Here is a 24,576-nt window from a genome sequence, read left to right as displayed (position 1 = left end):
GATAAATGTCTAGTCATGTCATTTGCCCACTTTTTAATGGGATTTTTTTTTCTTGATGATTTGTTTGGATTCCCTATAGATTGTGGAAATTATGGACTTCTGTTTTAACTGTTAAAAAAAATTTAGATGATGTCAGAGGGTTGTTTTACCTCTAAAATATTTCAATTGTAAGAAGTGACACTAATACTTTCTGATTGAATTGTACTATTAAGCCACATGATATTTCAGCTTTTCTCCTAATTGGAAGGGGTATCGCCTACTAAATAATTAGACTGGGACTTTGATTCCTATAATTTATTAAGTATTTATATTGTGAAAATTTATATGTCAATCTAGTAATACTTAATTGTTAAAGTCTCTAGTCTTGAAAATTTCTTATATTAATCCCATTTTTAAGAATAACAGCCTACGTAAGAATGATACAATGGACTTTGGGGACTCAGGGGAAAGGGTGGGAGGAGAGTGAGGGAGGGATAAAAGACTATGTACATTGGGTACAGTGCTTGGGTGATGAGTGCACCAGAATTTCAGAAATCACCACTAAATAACTTATTCATGTAACCAAACACCGCCTGTTCCCCAAAAACCTATTGAAATAAAAAAAAAGATTAAGAAAATTTCTAGTAACCAAAAAAAAAAAAAAAAGGAAGAGCAGCCTTAACTCATGTGAAATACTGCTAGCATGTGTCTAAGTAGTAGTGTTTTTGCTAAATTGCCAACTGCAATGACTTCTGACACCAACTAGTTGGAGTTGGGCCAAACATCAAAGGTTAAGGGCACAGTCCCCCATAAAACTGCCCTGACTTCAGACACCAGCCACAGATTTGGGCACTCCTAGAGCCTCCTGTGCTTTTGACTAGCTGCAAATTTGGAGGTCCCTCAGTTTCATTAATTTACTAGAATGAATCACAGAATTCAAGAAAGCACTAGACTTGAAATTACAGTTTTATTATAGCAACAGGATACTAACCCAAATCAGCAACAGGGAGAGATGCACAGGGTGAGGTCTGATAGGGTCCCAGATGTAAAGCTTCCATTGCCCTCTCCCCATGGAGTCAGGAGACATCACCTTCCTGACATGTCAATGTGTGACAATCAGAGTATTAGCAACCAGGGAAGCTCACCAAGGTTTGGTGTCCCTAGCTTTTATTGGGATTTCATTAAATAGGCATGGATTAAATCATTGGCCATATGATTGAATTCAATCTCCAGTCCCCCACCAACTGATAATGTGGCTCTAAGCACCAACCCTCTAATCACAGGGTTGGTCTTTCTGGCACAGCTAGCCCCCATTCCAAGTCATATCTTTAGCATAAACTATCCAGGGGCACACCATGATTCTCTTAATTAGGATAAACTATCAGGGTCCATAATGAATAACACAGAAATCCCTAACATGAGGGAAATTTGAAGAGTTAGAGTCTCCTTCCAGGAACCCAAGACAAACGTCAGCCAAATGCTTTATTACCCAGAATTCTGACAAAGACAGACAGACAGGACTGAAATGTCTTTCAGTTTCACTCAAGGGAAGTTGGACTGCTCTTAGAAAGAATGTGATGTTGGTGTTGATCTCTGGTGACAGGGTCTATTTTCCTCAAAAGTAATGACCCACTTCTCATTTTTAAATATTTAGTATCCTTCAAAATATTTTAAATATTTAAAATATTTCAAAATATTTTAAATATTTAGTATCCTACCCTACATATCCATCTCCTCACCCTTAAAAGAAACAAAGATTCTCATTTCTGTTACTCATACGGCACTCATTTTCTTCATTCTCTTAGTTGCAAACCCTAATTCTCTATGCACTTTCTCCTGTTAGTACAACCTGTTTCTTCAAATTATCGCCTTAGTCCTTCTCCTTGCTAAAAGAATTTTCACACAAATTTATTATGCCTAACTCTTCCTTTTTGTACCTGTGCAGTTTTGAGTGTTGGATTGTATCACAATAAGTTAAGAATCTAACCTTGTTAATTATGCTTGACGGTTGATTGCTAAACTTTGATGCCATGTTTAGTAAGTCATTATGCTATCTCAGCCAGTTAGTTTTCTATTAATCTTCTGTCTCTGAGAAGAACATTTTCAGTCTCAGTGCATGTCTGTTACCAGTAAGTTAAGCCTTATTTTGTTGACTGAGGCATCAGGTGAGTTTGAGGGGCATAAATGAACAGAAAATCATTTAGGCTCTCTTCTTCCCACATTCTCCTAGCAAGGTTGAATGGGGAGTTAGCCTACTTACATCTTCTTAAGGCCCATTTATGAGGTGACTTAAGTGCAGATCAGTGCGGGTTACATCATGAGAAACTTCTAAGACTTAGAATCAATGCAGTGTTTTCCTCTGAAGAGCCTCTTCTTACCGCATCTATCAGCCCGAGGTCAATTCCTCAATTCCTGTCACTTTAATCTTGATTATTTCCTTCTATTTTAAGACTCCCAGATATATAACTGGCATTATTTCCATTGGTATTTAAAGGTATTTTAAATCTATAACTCATATTTCTGAATCTCTGAAGTATATCCTTAGGCCTTTTTTGTTATTTTATGTATAGTAGTAATAGAATTTTTGACCAAGAATGATTACTAGACTGATATCCTCTTTGTTAACATAAGTGACACAACAAAATTCTAGCTATTCAAATGTTTTTGTTCTACATAATTTATTTTAATGAAATTATAAATAAAACCTTTTTTTGACAAGGAAAATAAAGGTCCGTTTATTGGCCTCTCAGTAACACCAGTGCTTGGCTCTCATCCTTTCCTGCTTTCCCTGGCTTGTTCGTTAGGATCAAGAACTTGCCTGACTTGCAGGTGTATTCATTCATGTAGACTAGAAGGAAGCTAACTAGTGCAGATGGAATTAAACCATGGCCTATGAACAGCAAACTTTAAGTTTACAAACACTAGGGCTATCCGTAAACTAAACACTCTTCTTCCTCTTCCCTCTCAGATCTCCATTTCTTAATCATTTGAATTATAACAATGCATTGTTTTTCTTATTAGGTGATATTGAAGCAGCTTTCAATAACCTTCAGCACTGCTTAGAACACAATCCCTCTTATGCTGATGCTCATCTGCTGCTAGCTCAGGTTTACTTGTCTCAAGAAAAAGTCAAATTGTGTTCTCAGTCTCTTGAACTTTGTCTGAGCTATGATTTTAAGGTAAGTATTCCAGACTGAAGTGGATAAGACATATCACCCTCCTTGAAAGCTTACATATTCAAGTATTTTGTGTTTTAGCCTGTAGTATTTTGCTAACAGTTGCATTTTTAATGGAAAAAAAAATGGAACTCACAAGCAGTAGGAGGAAAAATTGAGGCAATTCAGGTATGGGTAAAAAACTATGTGGACTTGGTGACAAAAATCCTGAGGTTAATGTCTGGTCTTTCACTTCTCTCTGAGCCTCAGTTTTCTTTTCTGTAAAACTCATTTACTAATACTCTGCTGTTACAATGAGAATTAAATGCAATAATGAAGGTATATAAAAATGATGATCCTTATGTCAAATATTTTTATGTATAAAGATAATAATTGTCTGTTTATTTCTTGGACCTTAGTTTTTAATAACTTCTTTTTAGATTCATTGTGAAAGAACATCTTGTCATTTTGAAAGTAATTTTGTGGTTTGAGGATATAAAAACACAGTACTTTTCTATCCAAGATATTATGTGTTATATCCAGTATCCCCTCAACGTTAGGGAAAATCCTAGGTTCAGTTGCTTCCTGAACTACCTCAAGTCATGGAGGAGCTCTGAAAACTTCTGCTTTGCTTCACAGGGTCATGGACCCTGTTAAGAGAGAACCCTTCAGTGAATTAGAGAATCCTAATTAAGATTTGCAGAAGGCCGGGCGTGGTGGCTCACGCCTGTAATCCCAGCACTTTGGGAGGCCGAGGTGGGCAGATCACAAGGTCAGGAGATCGAGACCATCCTGGCTAACACAGTGAAAACCCGTCGCTACTAAAAATACAAAAAAAGTAGCCAGGCGTGGTGGCGGGTGCCTGTAGTCCCAGCTACTCGGGAGACTGAGGCAGGAGAATGGCGTGAACCTGGGAGGCAGCGCTTGCAGTGAGCTGAGATCACGCCACTGCACTCCAGCCTGGGCAACAGAGCGAGACTCCATCTCAAAAAAAAAATTGCAGAAAATATCACCTGCTTCTTATGATAGTGGTTTTCAAGACTAGTGGTATGTCAGAGCCTCAGTGCTGGTGCCCCACCTTTACTGAGTCAAAATCTCTGAGGAAGGAGCACAAGCGTGAGTCTCACACGAAGCTCTGTAAGCAAATGTGCAGGCTGCCTAAGGTTGAGAACCTCAGCATCAGGAGGATTATAGACTTCCTAATCGCTAGGTGGCTGCCACGTCACCTCGTTCTGAGTCCTCTCCTTCCCTTTGACTTCTTTTTCCCACCTCATTTTTATCATTTTCTTATGTTTTCTGTATATACTGTTGATAGCCAACGTAAAGATGGAAGCTTCAGAACTACATATTTAGGAGTAGTGTCAAAGGGGAAGGTCAATGTTTGATTAAAATGTCCTGAAACTTTTAATCTTCAAATTAAAAAAATAAAGGGGAGAAACAGTGTTTCTAGAAATCTAATAACTTCATATCAGTTGTAGAAGTGCCAGATAAAGAAATTCTTTTCCTGAAAATTCAAGTAATCTCTTAGAATGTATTTGCTAGCCTTATAAAGCTTGTTTGCACTTTCTCTTCTGTCACAGTAGAAATATGTAATCAACCTCTTTGTCATCTCAAAGGATGCAGGGAGAAGCAATTTTCCTGAATCCGATTTAATGTGATACATAATCAGAGGGTTAATAAGAGGGCAGAGATAGACCTCATGCATACAATCAAAGATGGACTGTTCTCAGTGATCTCATTATTTTAATGTTTGATGGATTGTAAATTATGTGTTGATGTTGTAAGCACTCCAAGGAAATATTAAATATTATTCTTCAGGTGAGAGACTATCCTTTATACCATTTGATAAAAGCTCAGTCACAAAAGAAAATGGGAGAAATAGCAGACGCAATTAAAACACTGCATATGGCAATGAGTTTACCAGGAATGAAAAGAATTGGAGCTTCCACAAAATCAAAAGACAGAAAAACTGAAGTTGATACAAGCCATCGTTTATCGATCTTTCTTGAATTGATAGACGTTCACCGCTTAAATGGAGAGCAGGTAGGTCAAGTTTTAATTTAAGGGCTCGGATGTGAACTTTCTTATTCTAACATATATATTAGTAGAAAATGAAAAGCTGCCCAGGCATGGTGGCTCACACCTGTAATCCCAGCACTTTGGGAGGCCGAGGCAGATGGATCATCTGAGGTCAGGAGTTCGAGACCAGCCTGGCCAATATGGTGAAACCCTGTCTCTACTAAAAATACAAAAAAATGAGCTGGATGTGGTAGTGCGCACCTGTAGTTCCAGCTGCTCGGGAGGCTGAGGCAGGAGAATCGCTTGAACCTAGGAGGCGGAGGTTGCAGTGAGCCGAGATGATGCCACTGCACTCCAGCCTGGGTGACAGAATGAGACTCCATCTCAGAGAAAAAAAATGAAAAGCTAAATGTATTCCCTTGACCAGGTGGTAAACTTTAGAAAAATTTAATTTTCATTACCTTGCACTAAAAATAAACTTCCTGTAAGCCCCTGAAAGTTAAGCATAATTTGCTCCTGGTTGACCTTAAGTATCAGTGTGCTCATGTTGGCTACAATGGAACATAATAACATGATGTACAACTCTCTTGGTTACCATGAATGTAATAATATAATGCAGTTATAATCCTATGAATCTCTAAAAAGATTTATACACATAAACACAAACACACATTTATGCACACTCCAGAACTACTGAAATAAAAAGGAAGTACCAACCTGAAATTCTAGTAGATGAGGAGACAAAATACTTGATGAATACAGCTTTGGTAAACTCATAGGAATATTATAAAGTCAGATATTTTTAAAAATAATAATATATACGATAAGATAGAAAGTAATTCTGGGAGAATTACAACTTTGTAGAAAATGAGGAACTCAAAGTCATTTGTATCCGTTGTTTTAGGTTGCAGCACTTGCTAATCACTTATTTTTCATATTTTAATGAAAATTAAGAAGGCTGTATTTCTAAATATTTGCCAAATCACAAAGAATTTCCATTTATTTACTGTATTTTTTAGTGATAAGGTCTCACTCTGTCTCCTCAGCTGGCATCCAGTGATACAATCATAGCTCACTGCAACCTCAAACTCCTGGGTCCAAGAGATTTTACCATCTCAGTCTCTCAAGTAGCTGGGCCATGCCCAGCTAGTTTTTAAAATATTTTGTAGAGGGTCTCCCTATGTTATGCAGGATGGTCTCAAACTACTGGGCTTAAGTGATCCACCCAGCTCGGCCTCCCAAAGTGCTGGGATTACAGGTGTGAGAGAATTTCTGTTTTACTAGTTAACTTAAAGTACATTTAACAAGTAAGGCCAATTATACCCTATAAAGTTGATTCTGAGGTACACTTAAATTACATTTTAACATTTCTGGAATTCTTATAATCTCTGAAGTTGAGATGACTCTTAAATGACATTTTAGATTCATCAAGGTACACATTTGGAAATGAGGTAGAATATTCACCCAAAGTGTAACAACAGTGTTCTGGTGGAGGGAATAATCTGCCACTTAATGAAGAGCCAGTGTGTACAGCTCTTCATTATTCAATGCTGGGTGCTTAGTAAGTGCTCATTAATATAGTAGCAGTGACCCTCTGTAGCAGCTGCTGTTGTCCTAGTTGTGAAAACATTTATCTAGCTAACAATATTTACAGGCTCATCTGATTTTGGTCATGGGTTTAGTTTTAAATTTTTGAGGTTTCAGAAAATTCTATCAATTTATTTCGTAAATATTATAAATGTACTAGCATTTATTCATTCTGCGTTATGAGAAAATCTCCCTTTCTAGTGTTATTTGTTCACTATTTTGGAAGAATGATTATTTTAATTTCATCTTTACAGCATGAGGCAACCAAAGTTTTACAAGATGCCATCCATGAATTTTCTGGAACATCTGAAGAAGTGCGGGTTACCATTGCTAATGCAGACCTTGCTCTAGCCCAAGGAGATATTGAACGGGCTTTAAGCATCCTTCAGAATGTTACAGCCGAACAGCCTTATTTTATAGAGGCCAGAGAAAAAATGGCAGATATTTATCTGAAGCACAGAAAAGATAAAATGTTATATATCACTTGTTTTAGGTAAGTAATTGTCTTAACCCATTATATTTTGATACATTTAGCCACTAGTATTAATTCCCAATTTTTTTTTAACTTTCTTTCAACTGCTTCACAAATACTTTACAGATCGTTTTCTGAATGTGGTCCTGATTCCTTCTACCACCAACTGCAATCACTCTAACCAAGTTATTTGCTCTCCCTAAAACATAATTATGATTCCTTCAAACTGGCTTGCTGTAGTTTCTCAGCTCTCCTTATCAAATATTATTTTTAGACCCTAGATCTTCCTGTTTGAGAAGGGAAATTGTACCCTGTGTTCTAATAACTTAAGAGCATCATGTAATATAACAATAATCTACGGGATAGGCAGGTGTATTTATTAGTCGATATAGTAGTTGTAGGAAAAAAAAAGTTATTTTAGTATGTACCATGCTAACGTGTGGATTACAGATATTTCTTGGTGAAAGAGCATGACCTTAAAAGTATGTCACACTGATGCCCTTATGAGTTATTGGGATACACAACACACACACACACACACACACACACACACACACACACACAGATTGCTCTTCCTCTTCTCCCCAAACAGAAGGGTAAACATAGAAGCATACACTCTATGTAAGAGAAAATTAACGTTTTTAGCTCTTGAGATCATAGTAAACTGTTGATGAAGTAATTCAGTATTGGCTCATCTATATTATATCAAACTCAAAAAGCTGCTCAGATTCTTTTAAGCACTGAGTGATTCAGAGAAACTGAGCAGCACCGCATGTTTAGACAGATGGACTGGAGTTCCTAGATTGTGTTTTCTAAGGTATTTCCAGAAGATTATCACTGTCATCTCTAATGATATGAAAATAATTCAAAATAGGGTTGATTTATTTTTGATGTACTATAATGTAATAGTTAAAAGTATAGGTTTTGTTTCAGGAAGATCTGACACATCAGCTGCAACTCTTAACATCATCTGTAAAACTGGGATAATAATTCTCAAGAGTTTTTGGACCAGTTAGATGAAATACTGTATGTTAAAGACTTAACACCACATTATTATTTCAATAACTTTGGTAATTTGACCTTTAGTAGTCTACATTTTCAGGTCAAATGTAAGCAACAAATACTGAAATAGAAGATTTTGTATTTTTTTAAGGTAATTTATTTCAGCATATAATTTATGCCATGAGTATCAGAGCTCAAGATGCATAGGAGGACAGTAAAATTTTATTCTCCCATCATTTTTTTGGTACCTTCACTCCCACATCATTTCAGAAGTAAACATAGCAAAATGTGTAGGTCCAAATAAGGAGAACCTAGATATTTACTATCTATCTGAACTCAGTTACCTGCATTTCAGAAAATGGAAAGATTCAGTGACAGAAATAGCTGATCTAGCATAAACAATTTGGGTGTGGGTATGCATGAGGTTTTTATAATATTACACTGTTGGGTATATAGAGATACTCTGAAGGCTACTGGCTAACTAAAATAAGGGAGCTTATTTTTTATTTTATTTTATTTTTGGAAGAAGATATCTGTGTTCAATATGCTAAGTAATGTTGGTCTGATTTCCAGAGAAATTGCTGAAAGAATGGCTAACCCTCGGTCTTTTCTTCTCCTTGGTGATGCATACATGAATATTCTAGAGGTAAAATTTCTGATGTTACTGAACTGCATTTTTAAAAAATTATTTGTGATGAGTACAACTTCCTATTAAAAGGAATGTTTTTTAAAATAATGTTTAATATTTGAAGATCCAGCCATCACAGTAAAAGGGAGATATCCATTTTAAAGGATAAATAAAATAAAAGGGAGATATCAATTTTTAAAAATGGATTCTATTTTTAAAGTTGAGATCCAGTAATTCAGCACTATTGTTATTTGAAATAGAGATGAGGCCAGGCACGGTGGTTCATGCCTGTAATCCCAGCACTTTGGGAGGCCAAGGCTGGTGGATCACTTGAGATCAAGAGTTCAAGACCAGCCTGGCCAACATGGTGAAACCCCGTCTCTACAAAAAATACAAAAAATTAGCCCTGCCTGTAGTCCCAGCTATTGGGAAGGCTGAGGCAGGAGAATTACTTGAACCTGGGAGGTGGAGTTTGCAGTGAGCCAAGATTGCGCCACTGCACTCCAGCCTGGGTGACAGAGCAAAACTCCATCTCAAAAAAAAAAAATGTAGAGTTGATACCAGAGGTATGTTAGGAGTCTTCTTCTTTATACAGAAGGATAAAGGGAGCTACAGACTAAGGTGGTGTTTTCTTCAAAGGGAACCAATCCTTCAGCCCTCTATAACTGGCAGTTTAATGACTTCTGGAAATGAAAAGTCAAGATGGTGTCTCTTAGTCCACATATTGTTATTTATATAGACAAGAGCACAGTTAATATGGGTAGAATTATCCTAATAAATTATACCTATCCATACCTGCTTTTCTCATTTATCACCTTTTTGAAATTGTTAAAGTTCCTGTGCTTTAATATATGCCAAGTCTTATGTAATATTACAAATGTAGAGATTAATTATAGAACTGTTGCCCTTTAATGGGACCCAGTTATGCTATTTTTTATTGCTTATTTTTTGTGTCTGGCAATATTAGCCTGAAGAAGCCATAGTAGCATATGAGCAAGCATTAAATCAGAACCCGAAAGATGGAACATTGGCAAGCAAAATGGGCAAAGCACTTATCAAAACTCATAACTACTCAATGGTAAGTACTTTATTGTTTGAAATATGTCTGTTGCATCAAATTTATCATACCCTGTCCTCGAGAAGCTTCAGCGAGCACCATTTGCATCTTTAATGGTTGTAAACTCCAAATCTGTATTTATGAACTGGGATTTGTGTTAAAGGCCTTCTTAGATTTATCAGATTCTTCATTGCTTCATTTCGTGGTGATTATTTGGACCCTAGACCTTGCTTCATCTTGCAGCTAGAATCCTTGCTACCAAATCAATTACCATAAAGTTGCTATTCTTACACCTCTTTCATTGTGTAACAAAACATGATAAATGTTCTTTCTGTTGCACCAATTTTTGCAAGCTATGTGTTTTGAGTTCATTTTTTTTTCCAGTAAGGGAAACAGATTTTTCTTGAACTGTTATATTCTTGCCCTATTCCTGGTAATTGTTGACCATATGTACAACAGCTAGCAAAATGTATGCCTTTGATAAGGTTCACTGGCCTCATAAAACCTGTAAAAAATATTCTTTGCCAAGTACCGTTCTTTATCTACTTATCATAAGAAATGTTAGTTGTTGGCCAGGTGTGGTGGCTCACGCCTGTAATCCTAACACTTTGGGAGGCCAAGACGGGTGGATCAATTGAGTTCAGGAGTTTGAAACCAGCCTGGCCAACATGGTGAAACCCCATCTCTACGAAAAAATACAAAAAATTAGCTGGGCATGGTGGTGGGCTCCTGTAATCCCAGCTACTTGGGAGGCTGAGGCAGGAGAATTGCTTGAACTTGGAAGGCAGAGGTTGCAGTGAGCTGAGATTGCATCACTGCACTCCAGCCTGGGTGATGGAGTGAGACTGTGACTCAAAAAAAAAAAATATATATATATATTAGTTGTTTCATGTGATGATCTATTCTCTGAGAAGTATGACATACTTAATTGACAGGCAGGTGTATGCCTACAATTCTTCCTGGTTATTTCTAGTTATACCAATGCTTTAAGTCTGTAATGTATTAAATAGCTCTGCTTGAATGCCATTCTCATTGCCTTGTTCCCTTAAATGGAATGAATTTTGTTTAGGCAATCACTTACTATGAAGCTGCTCTGAAAACTGGACAAAAGAATTATCTTTGCTATGACCTGGCTGAGCTCTTATTAAAATTGAAATGGTATGACAAAGCAGAAAAAGTTCTTCAGCATGCTCTGGCTCATGAACCTGGTATGAAAGTCTTTCTGGTTTGAAAAAAGTCTGATAACTCTGATCCATTTTATTTTTATATTGCATAAATATGTATTTGTATTCTCAATATTTTATTTGTGGTTGGTTATATAAATACATGCGTATTTTTTCTTTTATCAGAATGCCACTCTACTAAAATGTGATATTTTGAAATCTAGTAGCAGATTTATGAAACAGTTAATTGTGTTATAGAAATATAGCTTACTTTCCAAAATAATATAGTTATCTTTAAATTACAGCTATCTCATATTTAAACACATTAGCATTTTTGTAATCTTTTTTAAAAAGTAGCATGCTTCTTTTTTAAAATTCAAGCTCTATAAAAGAATATAATGCATAAGTCATCTGTTTCTCCTATGAATTCCATTTGCCTTGTTCTCAAATTACCTCCCTAGTAGCTTGTAATTTAATATATATTCTATATATGTGTGTGTATATATAAGTGTAATGTGATTTTCCTGTGCGAAACTGTTACTCTTCCTTTTCTGCAATTTTTTCCACATACGTGTCCCAGATAGTTTGATGTCAGTACATCATGCATTTAATTTGCATTTCTTTGATGAGTGATAAAGTTAGGTATTATTTTGTTTATATATCTTATTTTCTTCTAGGAAATTTTATTCATATTATTCTATCTACAGGCATCATAATGTTCCATAACACCAATAAATTACTTAATTTTCTTGAAATTATTGGATGTTTAGTTTGCTTTCCATTATTTTGATATTATAATCCATGTTCCAATGAATATCACTGTATCATTCCTTAGTGTACATTTGCATATATTTCTTAGAGTAGGGTGCTGAGCTGGAGATTTTGTGCATGTAAAATTTGTTTGGGTACTATCAAATTACCTTCTTTCAAGTTTGTAAAAATTTACTTTTTTAAGATCTTTTTTTTTTTGAGACAGAGTCTCACTCTGTTGCCCAGGCTGGAGTGCAATGGCACGATCTCAGCTCACTGCAAGCTCTGCTGCCCGGGCTCACACCATTCTCCTGCCTCAGCCTCCCTAGTAGCTGGGACTACAGGCCCCTGCCACCACGCCCGGCTAATTTTTTGTATTTTTAGTAGAGACGAGTTTTCACCATGTTAGCCAGGACAGTCTCGATCTCCTGACCTTGTGATCTGCCTGCCTCGGCCTCCCAAAGTGCTGGGATTACAGGCGTGAGCCACCGCGCCTGGCCTAAGATCTTTATTTTTAAATAAAATCTAGTGGTTGCCCATTGCCAGAATTTAAAGATTACAGAAGTGAATAAAAGTTGTGTCCTCTCCCGCTCTCCAGAGAAAACCATATTTAACAACTTGTATATCATGATATTCAGTCTCCCTGCCCCCATCTTTGCCTCTCATATATACACAATTATTATACCTACCACTTTTTACTATCTAAATGGATTATAGTACACCTATAATTCTGCAGTATGCATTTTTCATTTAATAACTTCTTTCCTTGTTAGAAATATAGCTCTTCTTTATTTTTTAGCATATGTAGAGTATTCCACTGTATCTTAATATCATAATTGATTTGATGAGTCTCATATTGGAATAGACATTTAGCTTGGGAAATAGTTGGAAGCAGTACTGAGATAAAGTCCTTGTTTATATACATATACCTCTCTGTACTTCCTAGAATTGAATCTTGCCCCATTGTTCTTTCTTAAGGCTAAAAACTTCCTGACATTATGTCGTGTTAGTCATGAAAAATAAACATTTTAATTTACATTTCTTTGATGAGTGATAAGGTTAGGTATTATTTTGTTTATATATCTTATTTTCTTCTAGGAATTTTTAATTTATATTCTTTGTCTTTAATCCTTTACCTAATGTTCATGTTGTAGATATTTTCTCCCGGGCTGTCTTTTCTTCATCAGATTTGTTTATTGTATCTTTGATCAAGTAGAATATTTAATGATCATATATCTGCTTTTCATGTCTTTTTTTGGCTTCTGAATTTCTTGTCACTCTCTAAAAGACCTTCCCTAATCCTAACGTTATGAAACTATTTCCATATATTTTTGTCATTTATATTGTTTTCATTTTTATATTGAGAACTTTAATCCATGTACTTTATTCCACATACAAGTTTTACTATATAGTTTCCAAAATGGATAGCCAATTTTATTTTCATGCCATTTATGGAACTGGCTCCTTTATTTTATAATAAACTCCTTCATATACATTGCTCTGATTATAGGAATCTTTGTTTTATTCCATTGTGTATGTTTCTTTTCTTTTGCCAACAACATGTTTAGTGTAGCTTTAAAATACATTTGAACACATGATGAGAGAAGCCCATTGTAAGTTTTCTGATATTTTCAAAATGATCTTTTGGTTTAGCTTTAATGACATTGGTGCTTAAATTCTTCTAATTATAAATGTATTTATTGTATGAAGTGTTAGTAGTTCCATAAAAATATATGCATGGATTTGTCAGATCTTCTTTTGAAACACTTGAAAGGCCTAAATGTGGATATACATTTTGAAAAGTTTGTAGGGGGAGAGAGATTCAAGTATCATATGTTTTAGTTACAATGGGTATATTATATTTATGTAACATAAATGCTTTCATTTAATATTTGCTGAGCATACCCATGACATACTTAGATGCCTTCATATACGTTTCATACATTATCTCATCAGGACTCATATTAATCTTTGAGGCAAATATAATCATACCCATTTTAAATTTAGCAATCTGAAACTCAGTTTTATTGATGTGTCCAGGACTACCTAGTTGGTAAAGTGGCATGGCGTGTCATGAACTGTGCACTTGACAAATGGTGGAGGAAACATTTTTGTTAATTATCTAGGGTTCTTTTATTGTTCTTAGACACAAAACATTTGGCATTAACCAAATATTTATATAGAACTTACCACGTACCAGAGTTTGTTTTCACTACTTTGCATATTTTAACTTATTTAGTAACTTATTAGCTATTAAAATCTTGCATCCACCCTGTGAGGTAGTTACTATCATTTTTCCTATTTTACAGATGAGAGGGAACTGCAGAATGGTTAAGTACCTTGCTCAAAATTAGAGGGCTAGTAAGTGGTAAAGCCTAGATTTGAAACCAGACCATTCAACATCAAAGTCAGTGCTCTTAACAACTGTACTTTATTGCTTATCAAATATCTATGATTTTTAAAAGAGCAGTTATCTTCTTAATTGCATATAGCAACTACTCTATCTTCTAATGACTTCAGTAAACAAATTTTTATACACTTAAGAATAAAAATGGAAATTATTGTGGTGTTAAATTGTTATCTCCTAATATATGTCTAAGAAAAGCCTCTAGTTGTTAACCCGTTCTTTAACTTTTCATCCAGCCAGTTTTTATCCTAAATCTTTTCTTTTTTTTTTTAATTTGGCCATTCTTCAGGCAACTGATTGAGAAAATTTTAACCGTATTCACTATTTTTCAAAATCATTTTTTCTAGAGACCAGTTTTAAAAATTCTGGAAAAATATAAACATTTATTTAAGATGAATAATTTTTTGCATTACATTCCATTCTTTCATAGTAAATGAACTGTCAGCTCTCATGGAGGATGGACGTTGTCAAGTTCTTCTAGCAAAAGTTTATAGTAAAATGGAAAAACTTGGTGATGCGATCACTGCATTACAACAGGTAAACACATTTGTCTGTGAGTGTGGTCATGAGGTAGGAGATGGATGCAGAAGGAAATATGCCATGTATAAGAGGAAAGCAATCTCTTTTGGCCAAACAGCTACAGAAAATATGTCAAAATCAAAATACTTATTGAATGCTTATGAATTATACATTTTAAATATACTATTACTACTATTATAACAATTTGGGAAGGTTGGAATTTTTTAATCCCATTTTATAGCTGAGGAGACTTGATTAACTTGTGTGAAGTCATATGAATAGTGTCATCAGGATTTGAACTTAGTGCTTTCTTCCTCCATTTATTTAGATCTTCTTTTTTCTCTTAATATTTTGTGGTTCTCAGTGTAGAGGTTTTACACAGATTTCCTTAGGTATGTTCCCAAGTGGTTGATGTTTTTTTAATGATGATTCAGTTTCTGATTTGCTAACAACTTCTTTATAAGTGACTTGAATTATTATCAAATATACTATCTGCATCTATCAAGATGATCATATGTCTTTCCTCCTGTTTTCCTTTTCAAATGTGGTATATTAAATTGACTTATTTTCAAATGTTAAAACACCTTATATCTCTGAAATAAATGTCACTTTGATATAATTTTTAAAAAGATATTGCTGGAATTTAAAGATGTTTTATAATATTTTGTTCAGGATTTCTGCATCTGTGTTCAACAAATTGATGCTAATTCTTTTTTTCTTTTTTTTTTTTTTTTTTTTTTGAGACGGAGTTTTGCTCTTGTTGCCCAGGCTGGAGTGTAATGGCATGATCTCAGCTCACTGCAACCTCTGCCTCCCAGGTTGAAGCGATTCTGTTGTCTCAGCCTCCTGAGTTGCTGGGATTACAGATGCTCACCACCATGCCCAGCTAATTTTTGTATTTTTAGTATTTTTAGCAGAGACAGGGTTTCACCATGTTGGTCAGGCTGGTCTCAAACTCCTGACCTCAGGTGATTCCCCCTGCCACGGCCTTCCAACGTGCTGGGATTACAGGCGTGAGCCACCGCACCCGGCTGCTAATTCTTTGATGTTTGGAATAATTCATTGTTGCAGGCCTTGAGACCTCTTTGAAGGAAAGTTTTTAATAGATTTCAGACTGATCATTTTCAAATTGTTTCTTATATCAATTTGGAATTTTTTAAGTACTCAGTTTATTGTTAAATTTATTAACATAAACTTGTTTATTATATCTTTTCTTTTGAATGTCTACAAATGCAGTGAAAAAGGTCCCTTTTACAAACCTGATATTAGTAATTTTTTCTTCTTTAATAATCAGTTATGCTAGGGGTTATCTTATTAATATTTTCAAAGGGTCAACTTTTGCCTTTTCTGGCTTCATTAAATGTTTTAACCTCATAATTAATTTCTTCTACACTCTTTGGGTTTGGTTTACTAATTTTTTTTTTTTTTTTTTTTTTTTTTTAGCCTCTTGAAATAGTATGTTAGGTAATGGATTTCGAGCTTTTGTTATTTTCCTATTCATTTGAAGCAGTAAATTTCTCTCTCAACACTGGTTTATCAGCATTCCACAAGTTTATTATTATTTAGTGTAAAACATTTCCTCATTTTCACTTTGATTGCTTCTTGGACCGGTGGGTTATTTAAAAGTGTAACATTGAATTTTTATGGAGTTCTGATTTGCTTGTTATCTTTTTGATACTGACTTCTAGTACACTTCTGCTGTGCCAAGACATACTTTGAATGATTCAATCCTTTGCAATTTGTTGAAGCTTGCTTTACATCCTACATTATAATCAGTTTTGGTAAAGGTTCCATGTGGACTTGAAATAATGTGTTTCTAACATTACTGTAACCACAATTACTTTTGCACCAACCTAATAAATACTTAGTTCAACCGTATGTCAATTAGGTCAGGTTTGTTGACTGATTTCTGTACATCTTCCCTGTTCTTAGTGTTTGGTCGTTATTTGTTTGCTTGGTTTTGGTCTATTTGTATGAGAGGGGTGTTAAAGTCTTTCAGTGTAATTGTGGATTTCTTTTTTTTCCATTTAGTTCTATGTATTTTTGCTTCATTTATTTAGAAGATACATTATTGAATGATCCAGATTTAGAATTACAATATCTTCCTGGTGAATTAAGTTATTTAAAATAATAAAATGGCCTTCTTCATTTCTAGTAATGCTTCTTGCTTTAAAATCTCCTTTGTCTTGTGTTATTATAGCTAACTCCAGTTTCCTTTTAGTACTTGCATGGTATATCTCCTGCATTCTTTTACTTTCAATTTTACGTGTCCTTATGTTTAAGATCTGTCAGCATACAATTTTTTTCTTGACAATCTAAATCTATTATAGTTTTTTTAACATTTAATATAGTTATGAATTATATTTGCATTTGGATTTGCCATCTTACAATCTGTTTTTTTCTAAATTTTCTTGACTTTTATCTGAGTTAAATTATTCTTATTCCACTTTCCCCTCTATTGTGTTATTTATACCTCCTTTTATTATTTTTCGGTGTTAGCTACAACACACATTTCTTCTTATCCAAATTCTATTATTCTATCTTTGCCTTTTCTATTATTGTTGTCATGCATTTTAAATTAGTTGTTTGAAACTTTGTTTATAGGGAACACAATGTGATATATTTTATTTCAGTATCAGACACTGGAAGATTTTTAGAGAAATCTTCTAGGTTCTCCCTCTCATTTAAGCGATTTTGCCTATCTGCCCTATCTATTATGTGTTGATTTTGCAGCTTACTTCTGAGAGGGATGATCTTACTTCCCAAGTTCCCTGGAGGCACTTTACTGTTCCCCAGATAGGATCCATAATATTGGTTTGTTTTGCAGTTGTCTAGTTTCTGGATATAAAAGTGAAATCATCACTTACCTTCTTAATACTTTATATTTTTTAAAAAGGACCCCCATTATTTTTATCTCATTCTGTTTATTCTGTGTCTGTAAGCCCCTGTGATATGTTGGAAGCAACAGGTCTGTGAGGTAAGCAAACAGTTTATGTATTACTGTGCTTATTTTCCCACAGAGAGTGTTTGTCCAAGATTATACAGCTGGTTACTAGAAGAGTTTGAAGTGGAATGCAGATGCCTCAGTCCTAACCCTTTGTGCTTTCCAGGATACTATACTAGTCACCTTTTGACTAGATTCCTGTGTACCCAGAAGAGTTCTGCATTCTGCAATTAATTTGTAGTGTTTTGGTTTTGAGATTTAACTGACAGGGGTGTGTGTATGTGTGTGTGCACGTGTGTGTGCATGCATGTGCGTGCATACCCAAGTTTCAGTAGACAGTCCCAAAATTTTTTTGTTCTAATTGTGAATGAATTGAGCTTGGATTATTAGATTTCTGTGATATCTATCTAAGTTTATGATATCATTAAAATATGTAATCTTAAACAATATTAATATCTTATCCTTAATTATTGGTACATTTTAGCTCTTATTTTCTGAATCACATGATAGAGAATTGCACCCAGCCATAGGTTAGTTACCAGAAGCTACAAGGAAAGTGTAATCTTTGGTAAAGGTGACTTTTAAAACATTTTAGAAATAAATTTAGCTTAGTTCACTCCTTTATGAATATCATTAGTCCCAGTCACCATGGTCCCATGAGCCTCTGTGTTATAAAAGCAGACATATGAAGCAACATCAAAAAACAGCATGCCATGGCTAGACAATGCCAGCACCCCAAACTATAATCAATTTTGAGTTTATATGTTAGATCCCAGGGATTATTCATCTTTAATAAGGTTTGAAGAATTATAACATTCTTCCCACTAATGACATGCTGTATATTCTGAATGACAAAGAGACAAATCTTAAGATGCAATTCAAACAGAAACCTATAAGTGGAGTCAAAGTTTTTGATATTTTCTGTTCATTTATTCAGCAACCATTTATTGAGCTTAATTCTCCACATTATGTAACTTAGGGGTTCTGTCATAGTGTTTTTGCAAAGTTGCTAAACATTTTTGGCAATGACGGAAATGGTAAATTTAGGGAAATCTCAAGTCTTAGGAATTTTGCTTTCTAAACATTTCAGACTTTTCCAATAACTCCGCATTTCCGTAGCCCTCTCTGTCATCTTTTAGCTGACTCCATCGTTATTTCTTGCTTACGGTCCTGAAGTAGCCTCCTGATTGATCCCAGTCTCATTTCCCTCTAGTCAGTTCTTCACAGTGACACCAGGGTGATGGTTCCCAAAGGCAACCTGATCCTGTCATGCCAATGCCTATAAACATGGCATAGTAGCTTCCCATGGGCTCTAGGATAAAATGTAGATTATTTAACAGGCTTACCTGTTGTATATTCTCTATATCTTTCCAGCCATTTTTTCTTCTAATTATTTGATCAGGCAGTGTATCCCTCATTCTCTTTCCTTCACATGTGATTCCTAATGCCTATGAGCCATTCCATCTCTTCATCCCATCTGTTTTTCCCCAACTCACCAGGGTGTAACTACTAACCATTCTTTAATTCTTACCTGACTTCCAAGACTGAGTTAGATTTTCTATTATGTACTCCCATGGCAACAGCATTTTCCACTTAACTTGTTGGAAAAGGGACAACTGTCCTCTGGGGGCTCTGTTGCCAATATTTGTTCCACTTTCTCTTTCATTTTCACTTTCTTCCTTACACTTGCAATCCAGAGTCCAGATGTAAAACAGTGTAGGGCCATAAGTGATGGGACATCTCTAACAAAATTCTTGGAGGCTGCTGCCTGGAAACTTGTGTCCTTGGGATGGTACCCTTACCCCTGAGGTGCTAGGGATGGGCCCCAGGGTCTTTCCCTGCTTTCTACTTTCCTAATGGCTAAGTGATGTCAGAGGACAACATCTTGATGTGTAGAGGTACAAGAATTCAGGGATGCAAGGATGCCTTCCTGCAAGACAGAGATCATTCTATCTAAACCAATTGTTTTCAGGTTTTTTACTAGGAGCACATGCATGAATGTGTATATATGTGTATAGCTATGCAAAAACATGAACAGATGTATGCATGTGTATAATCTAAAACACATAAAGGTACATATACTGACATACTGAAACACATATTAATATAACCAAAATAAAAATTTCATGAGACAGTATTAATGTTAACCACATGCTATATACTTATATTTTTCTTTCATTTGCAAAAGAATGCTGTTATGACTGTCTAAACCTCTGGCTTGAGAAAAAAAAAAGAAAACCTGTTTCAAAGCAATTGTTAGCTAACATTTTGACAAGACTCCCCAGAAGGGTGCCTTGTGTGTAGCATAATATATTGCATGTGGTAGGCATTTACTATTTGTTAAATGAATGCATTCACTAGTGAATCATTATGTGTAGCTAAAACATAAATTTTATTTTTGAAGACCTAAAACGTGTGAGTTCTTACCATTTATTAAAGGAAGATCTCAATGTTCCAGAAACCAGATGGATGGGTGGAAAGGCTGATATTCTTCCAATATAACAATCTACTCTACATTCTTACTCTGAGGAAGGCCCCACCTCTTTGTATTTGTTTCACGGTTGTATTTCCTCCTTAGTGAACTTCCTATACACATGTTGTAACAGTGGGAAAAGACTCAGTAATTCCATAAGTGTTTTGTTGGAAAGATATATGTGTGCTGGCTCATTTGCAAATAAGTGCATGCTTGAGATCTCAATAAGACATTTTCTTTGGATCAGACTTTGTTAGATCAAGGGTTCATAATGTTTAAATAAATCTGTAAAATTATGCTGTGTGTGAGTTACGGAGAATTTAATTTCCTTTTTTTTTTTTATTCCCTTTTATACTGATTTTTTCTAGGCTCGAGAATTACAAGCTCGGGTACTAAAACGTGTTCAGATGGAACAGCCAGATGCAGTTCCTGCACAGAAACATTTAGCAGCTGAAATTTGTGCAGAGATTGCAAAACATTCTGTTGCTCAGCGAGACTATGAAAAAGCAATTAAGTTTTATAGAGAGGCTCTGGTTCACTGCGAAACAGATAATAAGGTCAGTACCTTTATAAAATTTTAAATACCTTTTATTCCAGATGTCTTCTAATTTCCTCAGATGTAAAATTTTTACCAGCTTATTTTAAAAGAAGATGTAGGCAGGGTGCAGTGGCTGATGCCTATAATCCCAGCCCTTTGGGAGGCCAAGGCATGTGGATCATCTGAGGTCAGGAGTTTGAGACCAGCCTGACCAACATGGGGAAACCTTGTCTTTACTGAAAATACAAAAATTAGCCAGCGTGGTGGGGGGCGCCTCCTGTAATCCCAGCTACTTGGGAGGCTAAGGCAGGAGAATCGCTTGAACCTGGGAGGCGGAGAGGTTGCAGTGACCCAAGATCGCGCCACTGCACTCCAGCCTGGGCAACAGAGCGGGACTCCATCTCAAAAAATAAAATAAAAAAATAGAAACAAGATTTTAAAAGAAATGTAACAAAAATACAAGTTAAAAGATTAATATTATTCCTCAAAAACTTTCAAAATCTTACATGATGCCTTACATTAAGAATATTAGAGTTTAAGGCTGGATGCAATGGCTCATGCCTGTAATCCCAGCACTTTGAGAGGCCAAGGCAGGCAGATCACTTGAGTCCAGAAGTTCAAGACCAGCCTAGGCAGCATGGGTAAACCCCAGTCTACTAAAAAATACTAAAATTAGCCAGGCATGGTGGCATATACCTGTAGTCCCAGCTCCTTGGGGTGCTGAGGCAGGAGGATCACCTGAGCCCAGAAGGTCAAGGCTGCAGTTAACCATGATGATGCCACTGTACTACAGCCTGGGTAACAAAGCAATACCCTGTCTCAAAAAAAAAAAAAAAGAAAAGAAAAAAGAACATTACAATTATTTAAAAACTATAATGGAACACGTAATATAAAGCAACCTGCAAATTGTTTTAATATTTATGTTTTTAATTATCAAAATAATTTAAATAATTTTCAAATTTATTGTATCAATTTAGTTTATCAAAAATTAATTTTAAAATAATTTAAAATAATTTCTCAATCACAAATACCTGGATTTAGATAATTCAGTTCCTTTTACTAAACAGCTGTTGTACACTCTGTATTTCAATTGGTGTTTAGTACTAAGGATGCAAAAATGGCTAGGCTCAATCTATGACCTCATATAGCACAGTGGGAGAATAAATGTAAAGATAATTTTGGTGTAGCACATTTACATACATGACTGATTATATAAAAAGTTTTTACTCTGTCAAGATCTGAGAGGATTTGGAGAGATTATTAATTTCTGAAAATAATTAATGGCTAAACACTTAAGTAAGTGATCATGTACAAAAGACAACTATCCTCTAGAATTTAATAACTAGTTTGAACATTTTTATTAATATAATTTTTTCAGATAAACGGCAAAAACAACCTTTAGCAAGGCATAACCAAACAGATACCTTTTTCAGTGGTGGCTAAAGGAGTTGGAATCCTACTTTTAAATCTGAGGCATACCTTAGAGATTATCTGCTTGAAGCTTTTTATTTTACAAATGAGAAAGCAGGTTAAGGGAGGTAGAAGGGACCTGACTTGGCCCCGTTATGGGACTATAATCCAGTCTCATGGTTTTAAGACCAGTGTTCTTTTCACAATGCATTATGTCTCTCTACTTTTGAAGTGAGTTACTACCTGTTTCTCTGTTTTTTTTTTTTCTAGTGTAAGAGAAAATAGAGATGGGTATACATACTGTTGTTTTTTTTTTTTTTTTGTCTATTATACTTGGCATTTTATTGCAATGACTTTTGGTCAACTAAAGTTTAATCTGTACCCACGTATTTTCCTCATTGACTTTTTATTCTATACAGTGTCTGATGAATCTAGCCCTTTGCTCTACAGATTATGTTGGAACTGGCACGATTATACCTGGCACAAGATGACCCTGATTCCTGCCTGCGGCAGTGTGCTCTACTGCTTCAGAGTGACCAGGATAACGAAGCTGCTACCATGGTCAGTCCAAGGAACTTCAGTACAATAAAAGCACTTGTGTTTTATAAGTTTTAAATTTTACCCCATGGAACTACTACTAGATGATGAGGCATGGCTCACGTTGGCTTTTGGAAGAAATAACATTTTTCTAACATTACTACATTTTACCAATAAAGACCCAGAATCATTAGGATTTTATTTATAAGAAAGATAAACCTAGGTCAGGCTTTTACATGCCCTTTTGGGTCTAGTTATTTTTTATTTATGCCTAAGGGGATGCTTGGTCAGGTGGAGTTCATGTGGTAACACTATAATTTGCTAAGAACTAACTTTTAAGTACTTAGGAATGCTGGACAAATTTAAGAGTTTGGGTGGAATTTTTGGAGTTACAGGGGAAAAAAAACAACTTCATATTATCAGTCTAAGACAGTCTGTTTTGAATAGAGTTTTTTATTTTTTCTTATTTTTACGTGGGCTAAAATATTTGTTAGCTTTGCAGACAGCTACACAGATGACATTTTGTGAGGTTTATTTAAGGTTATTGTGGTTAAAAAGAAATATATGAAATCTGCATTTTTAAACACATAATAAGAAAAATGTCAGTAGGTCTTGCTCATTTTTAATTTTTCAAAATAGTTATGATTTAAATTTTGTTTCATTTTTGAATCGTCTCATTATTATTTTAGTCAGGTCCAGTGAGTATCTTTTCTACAACAGCACATAGAGTGTGCAATTCCTTTCAAATTTCTGTTTTTAAAACAATTGCTAGAAACATATTTTTTGCTAAAAATACAATTTTGCAAGCAGAGCAATCTGTTTCACATCCTTGATTATCTTCTGTTACACTGATCTGCAAGTTATTCTGCACAAGGTGGGCTTGAATCTTAAATGCCTCCTTTTTATAAAATGCTGCCCCCTCCTCATGTTTATCATCTATATTTTTCTAGTGCTAAATCTTGATTGGAAGAACATGTTGTGTAAAATACATGGCAATATTTTTAGAACCAACTTTTATCTTTATAGATGATGGCTGATCTCATGTTCAGAAAACAAGACTATGAACAAGCAGTGTTTCATTTACAGCAGCTTTTAGAACGTAAGCCAGGTAAATACCTACTTATTGTATTTTTTGAGTGCAGTCACCCCTCCCTTTCTCCTTTTTTCTTCTGTTTAGTGGTTATGCCCTCGGGCAAACTCCGTCCCTAGTTGAATCAGACTGTCTGTTTATTCCACACATGGGCTTGAGTAGCTGAAATGGCTATAAGGAAATTGCAACACTGTTGACTGGTCTCACTTTAAATTATGAGCACAAACCTGGTAATCCTACTGTATTCCAAAAATGAATTCATTGATTCGAACTACTTTTCCCACTTTCTCCTGTCTCCTCAAACCTCCATCACCCTTGCCCCATTTCTTGCCCACAGTTAAAAGCCTTGCCACCTACTTCACTAAGAGAATATTTGTACCTGGAAGAGAACTTCTCCATTCTTTGTCACCAAATTTACCCACCCCTCAGCCTTTGTCCTCCCCAGGCCTGTGATCCCGCCTGTGGCCAGCTTCTCACCTAAAAAAGGGCTTCACTCTTACAGTTCTCTCTCTTGAATTATCATTTTTTTTCTAATCAGCATGGAACTGTGCTGTGACATCTTCCTGCTGTAAATAAATCAGTCAATAAAAATCAACTCTTAACTCTCATCCCCTCCCAATTACTATGCCCTTCCTCAGTTCTTCTCGACAACAAATTTTCTGTGAAGGATTTTCAAACATGCTGTGTTCACTTTGTCTCATCCACTGCTGCACCCTAGGGAAGTCACTTCTGCAATGTGGTCGGTGACCCCCATACTGCCAGGTCAGATTCAGTTCTCAGTTCTCTGCCGACTTGACCTGTCATCATATTTGGCACAGTTTATTCCCTTCCACAATGAAAGACTTT

The 24,576-nt window shown here is 35.4% G+C and overlaps 1 protein-coding gene across 6 annotated transcripts in view, besides 1 other annotated feature; it reads left to right on the top strand.

Annotated features, from left to right (window-relative positions):
- The window catches only part of TTC21B (tetratricopeptide repeat domain 21B), an 80,415-nt gene that overhangs the window by 31,343 nt on the left and 24,496 nt on the right, over positions 1-24,576 (top strand). For 5 of the 6 annotated variants that reach the window (NM_024753.5, XM_047445870.1, XM_011511871.4 and 2 more), the window contains 10 exons: positions 3,001-3,158; positions 4,953-5,177; positions 6,995-7,233; positions 8,788-8,860; positions 9,810-9,920; positions 10,969-11,107; positions 14,650-14,756; positions 20,524-20,712; positions 22,554-22,664; positions 23,667-23,748. In NM_024753.5, the coding sequence (NP_079029.3) occupies positions 3,001-3,158; positions 4,953-5,177; positions 6,995-7,233; positions 8,788-8,860; positions 9,810-9,920; positions 10,969-11,107; positions 14,650-14,756; positions 20,524-20,712; positions 22,554-22,664; positions 23,667-23,748 (1,434 nt within the window). Of the gene's footprint in view, positions 1-3,000; positions 3,159-4,952; positions 5,178-6,994; positions 7,234-8,787; positions 8,861-9,809; positions 9,921-10,968; positions 11,108-14,649; positions 14,757-20,523; positions 20,713-22,522; positions 22,665-23,666; positions 23,749-24,576 lie in introns of those variants that run through there. The other variant, XM_011511872.3, reaches the window with a different exon arrangement.
- Positions 24,321-24,410: an enhancer, noted in NCBI's record as "active region_16729". NCBI's record gives its function as "activates an Ori minimal core promoter by ATAC-STARR-seq in GM12878 lymphoblastoid cells {active_cell/tissue: GM12878}" and the evidence as "EXISTENCE:reporter gene assay evidence [ECO:0000049][PMID:35858748]".

This window comes from Homo sapiens, chromosome 2 (assembly GCF_000001405.40).
Source record: "Homo sapiens chromosome 2, GRCh38.p14 Primary Assembly".
Lineage (NCBI taxonomy): Eukaryota > Metazoa > Chordata > Mammalia > Primates > Hominidae > Homo > Homo sapiens.
The sequence above is the reverse complement of the archived record's forward strand: the minus strand, read 5'-3'. Positions and strand labels throughout refer to the sequence as shown.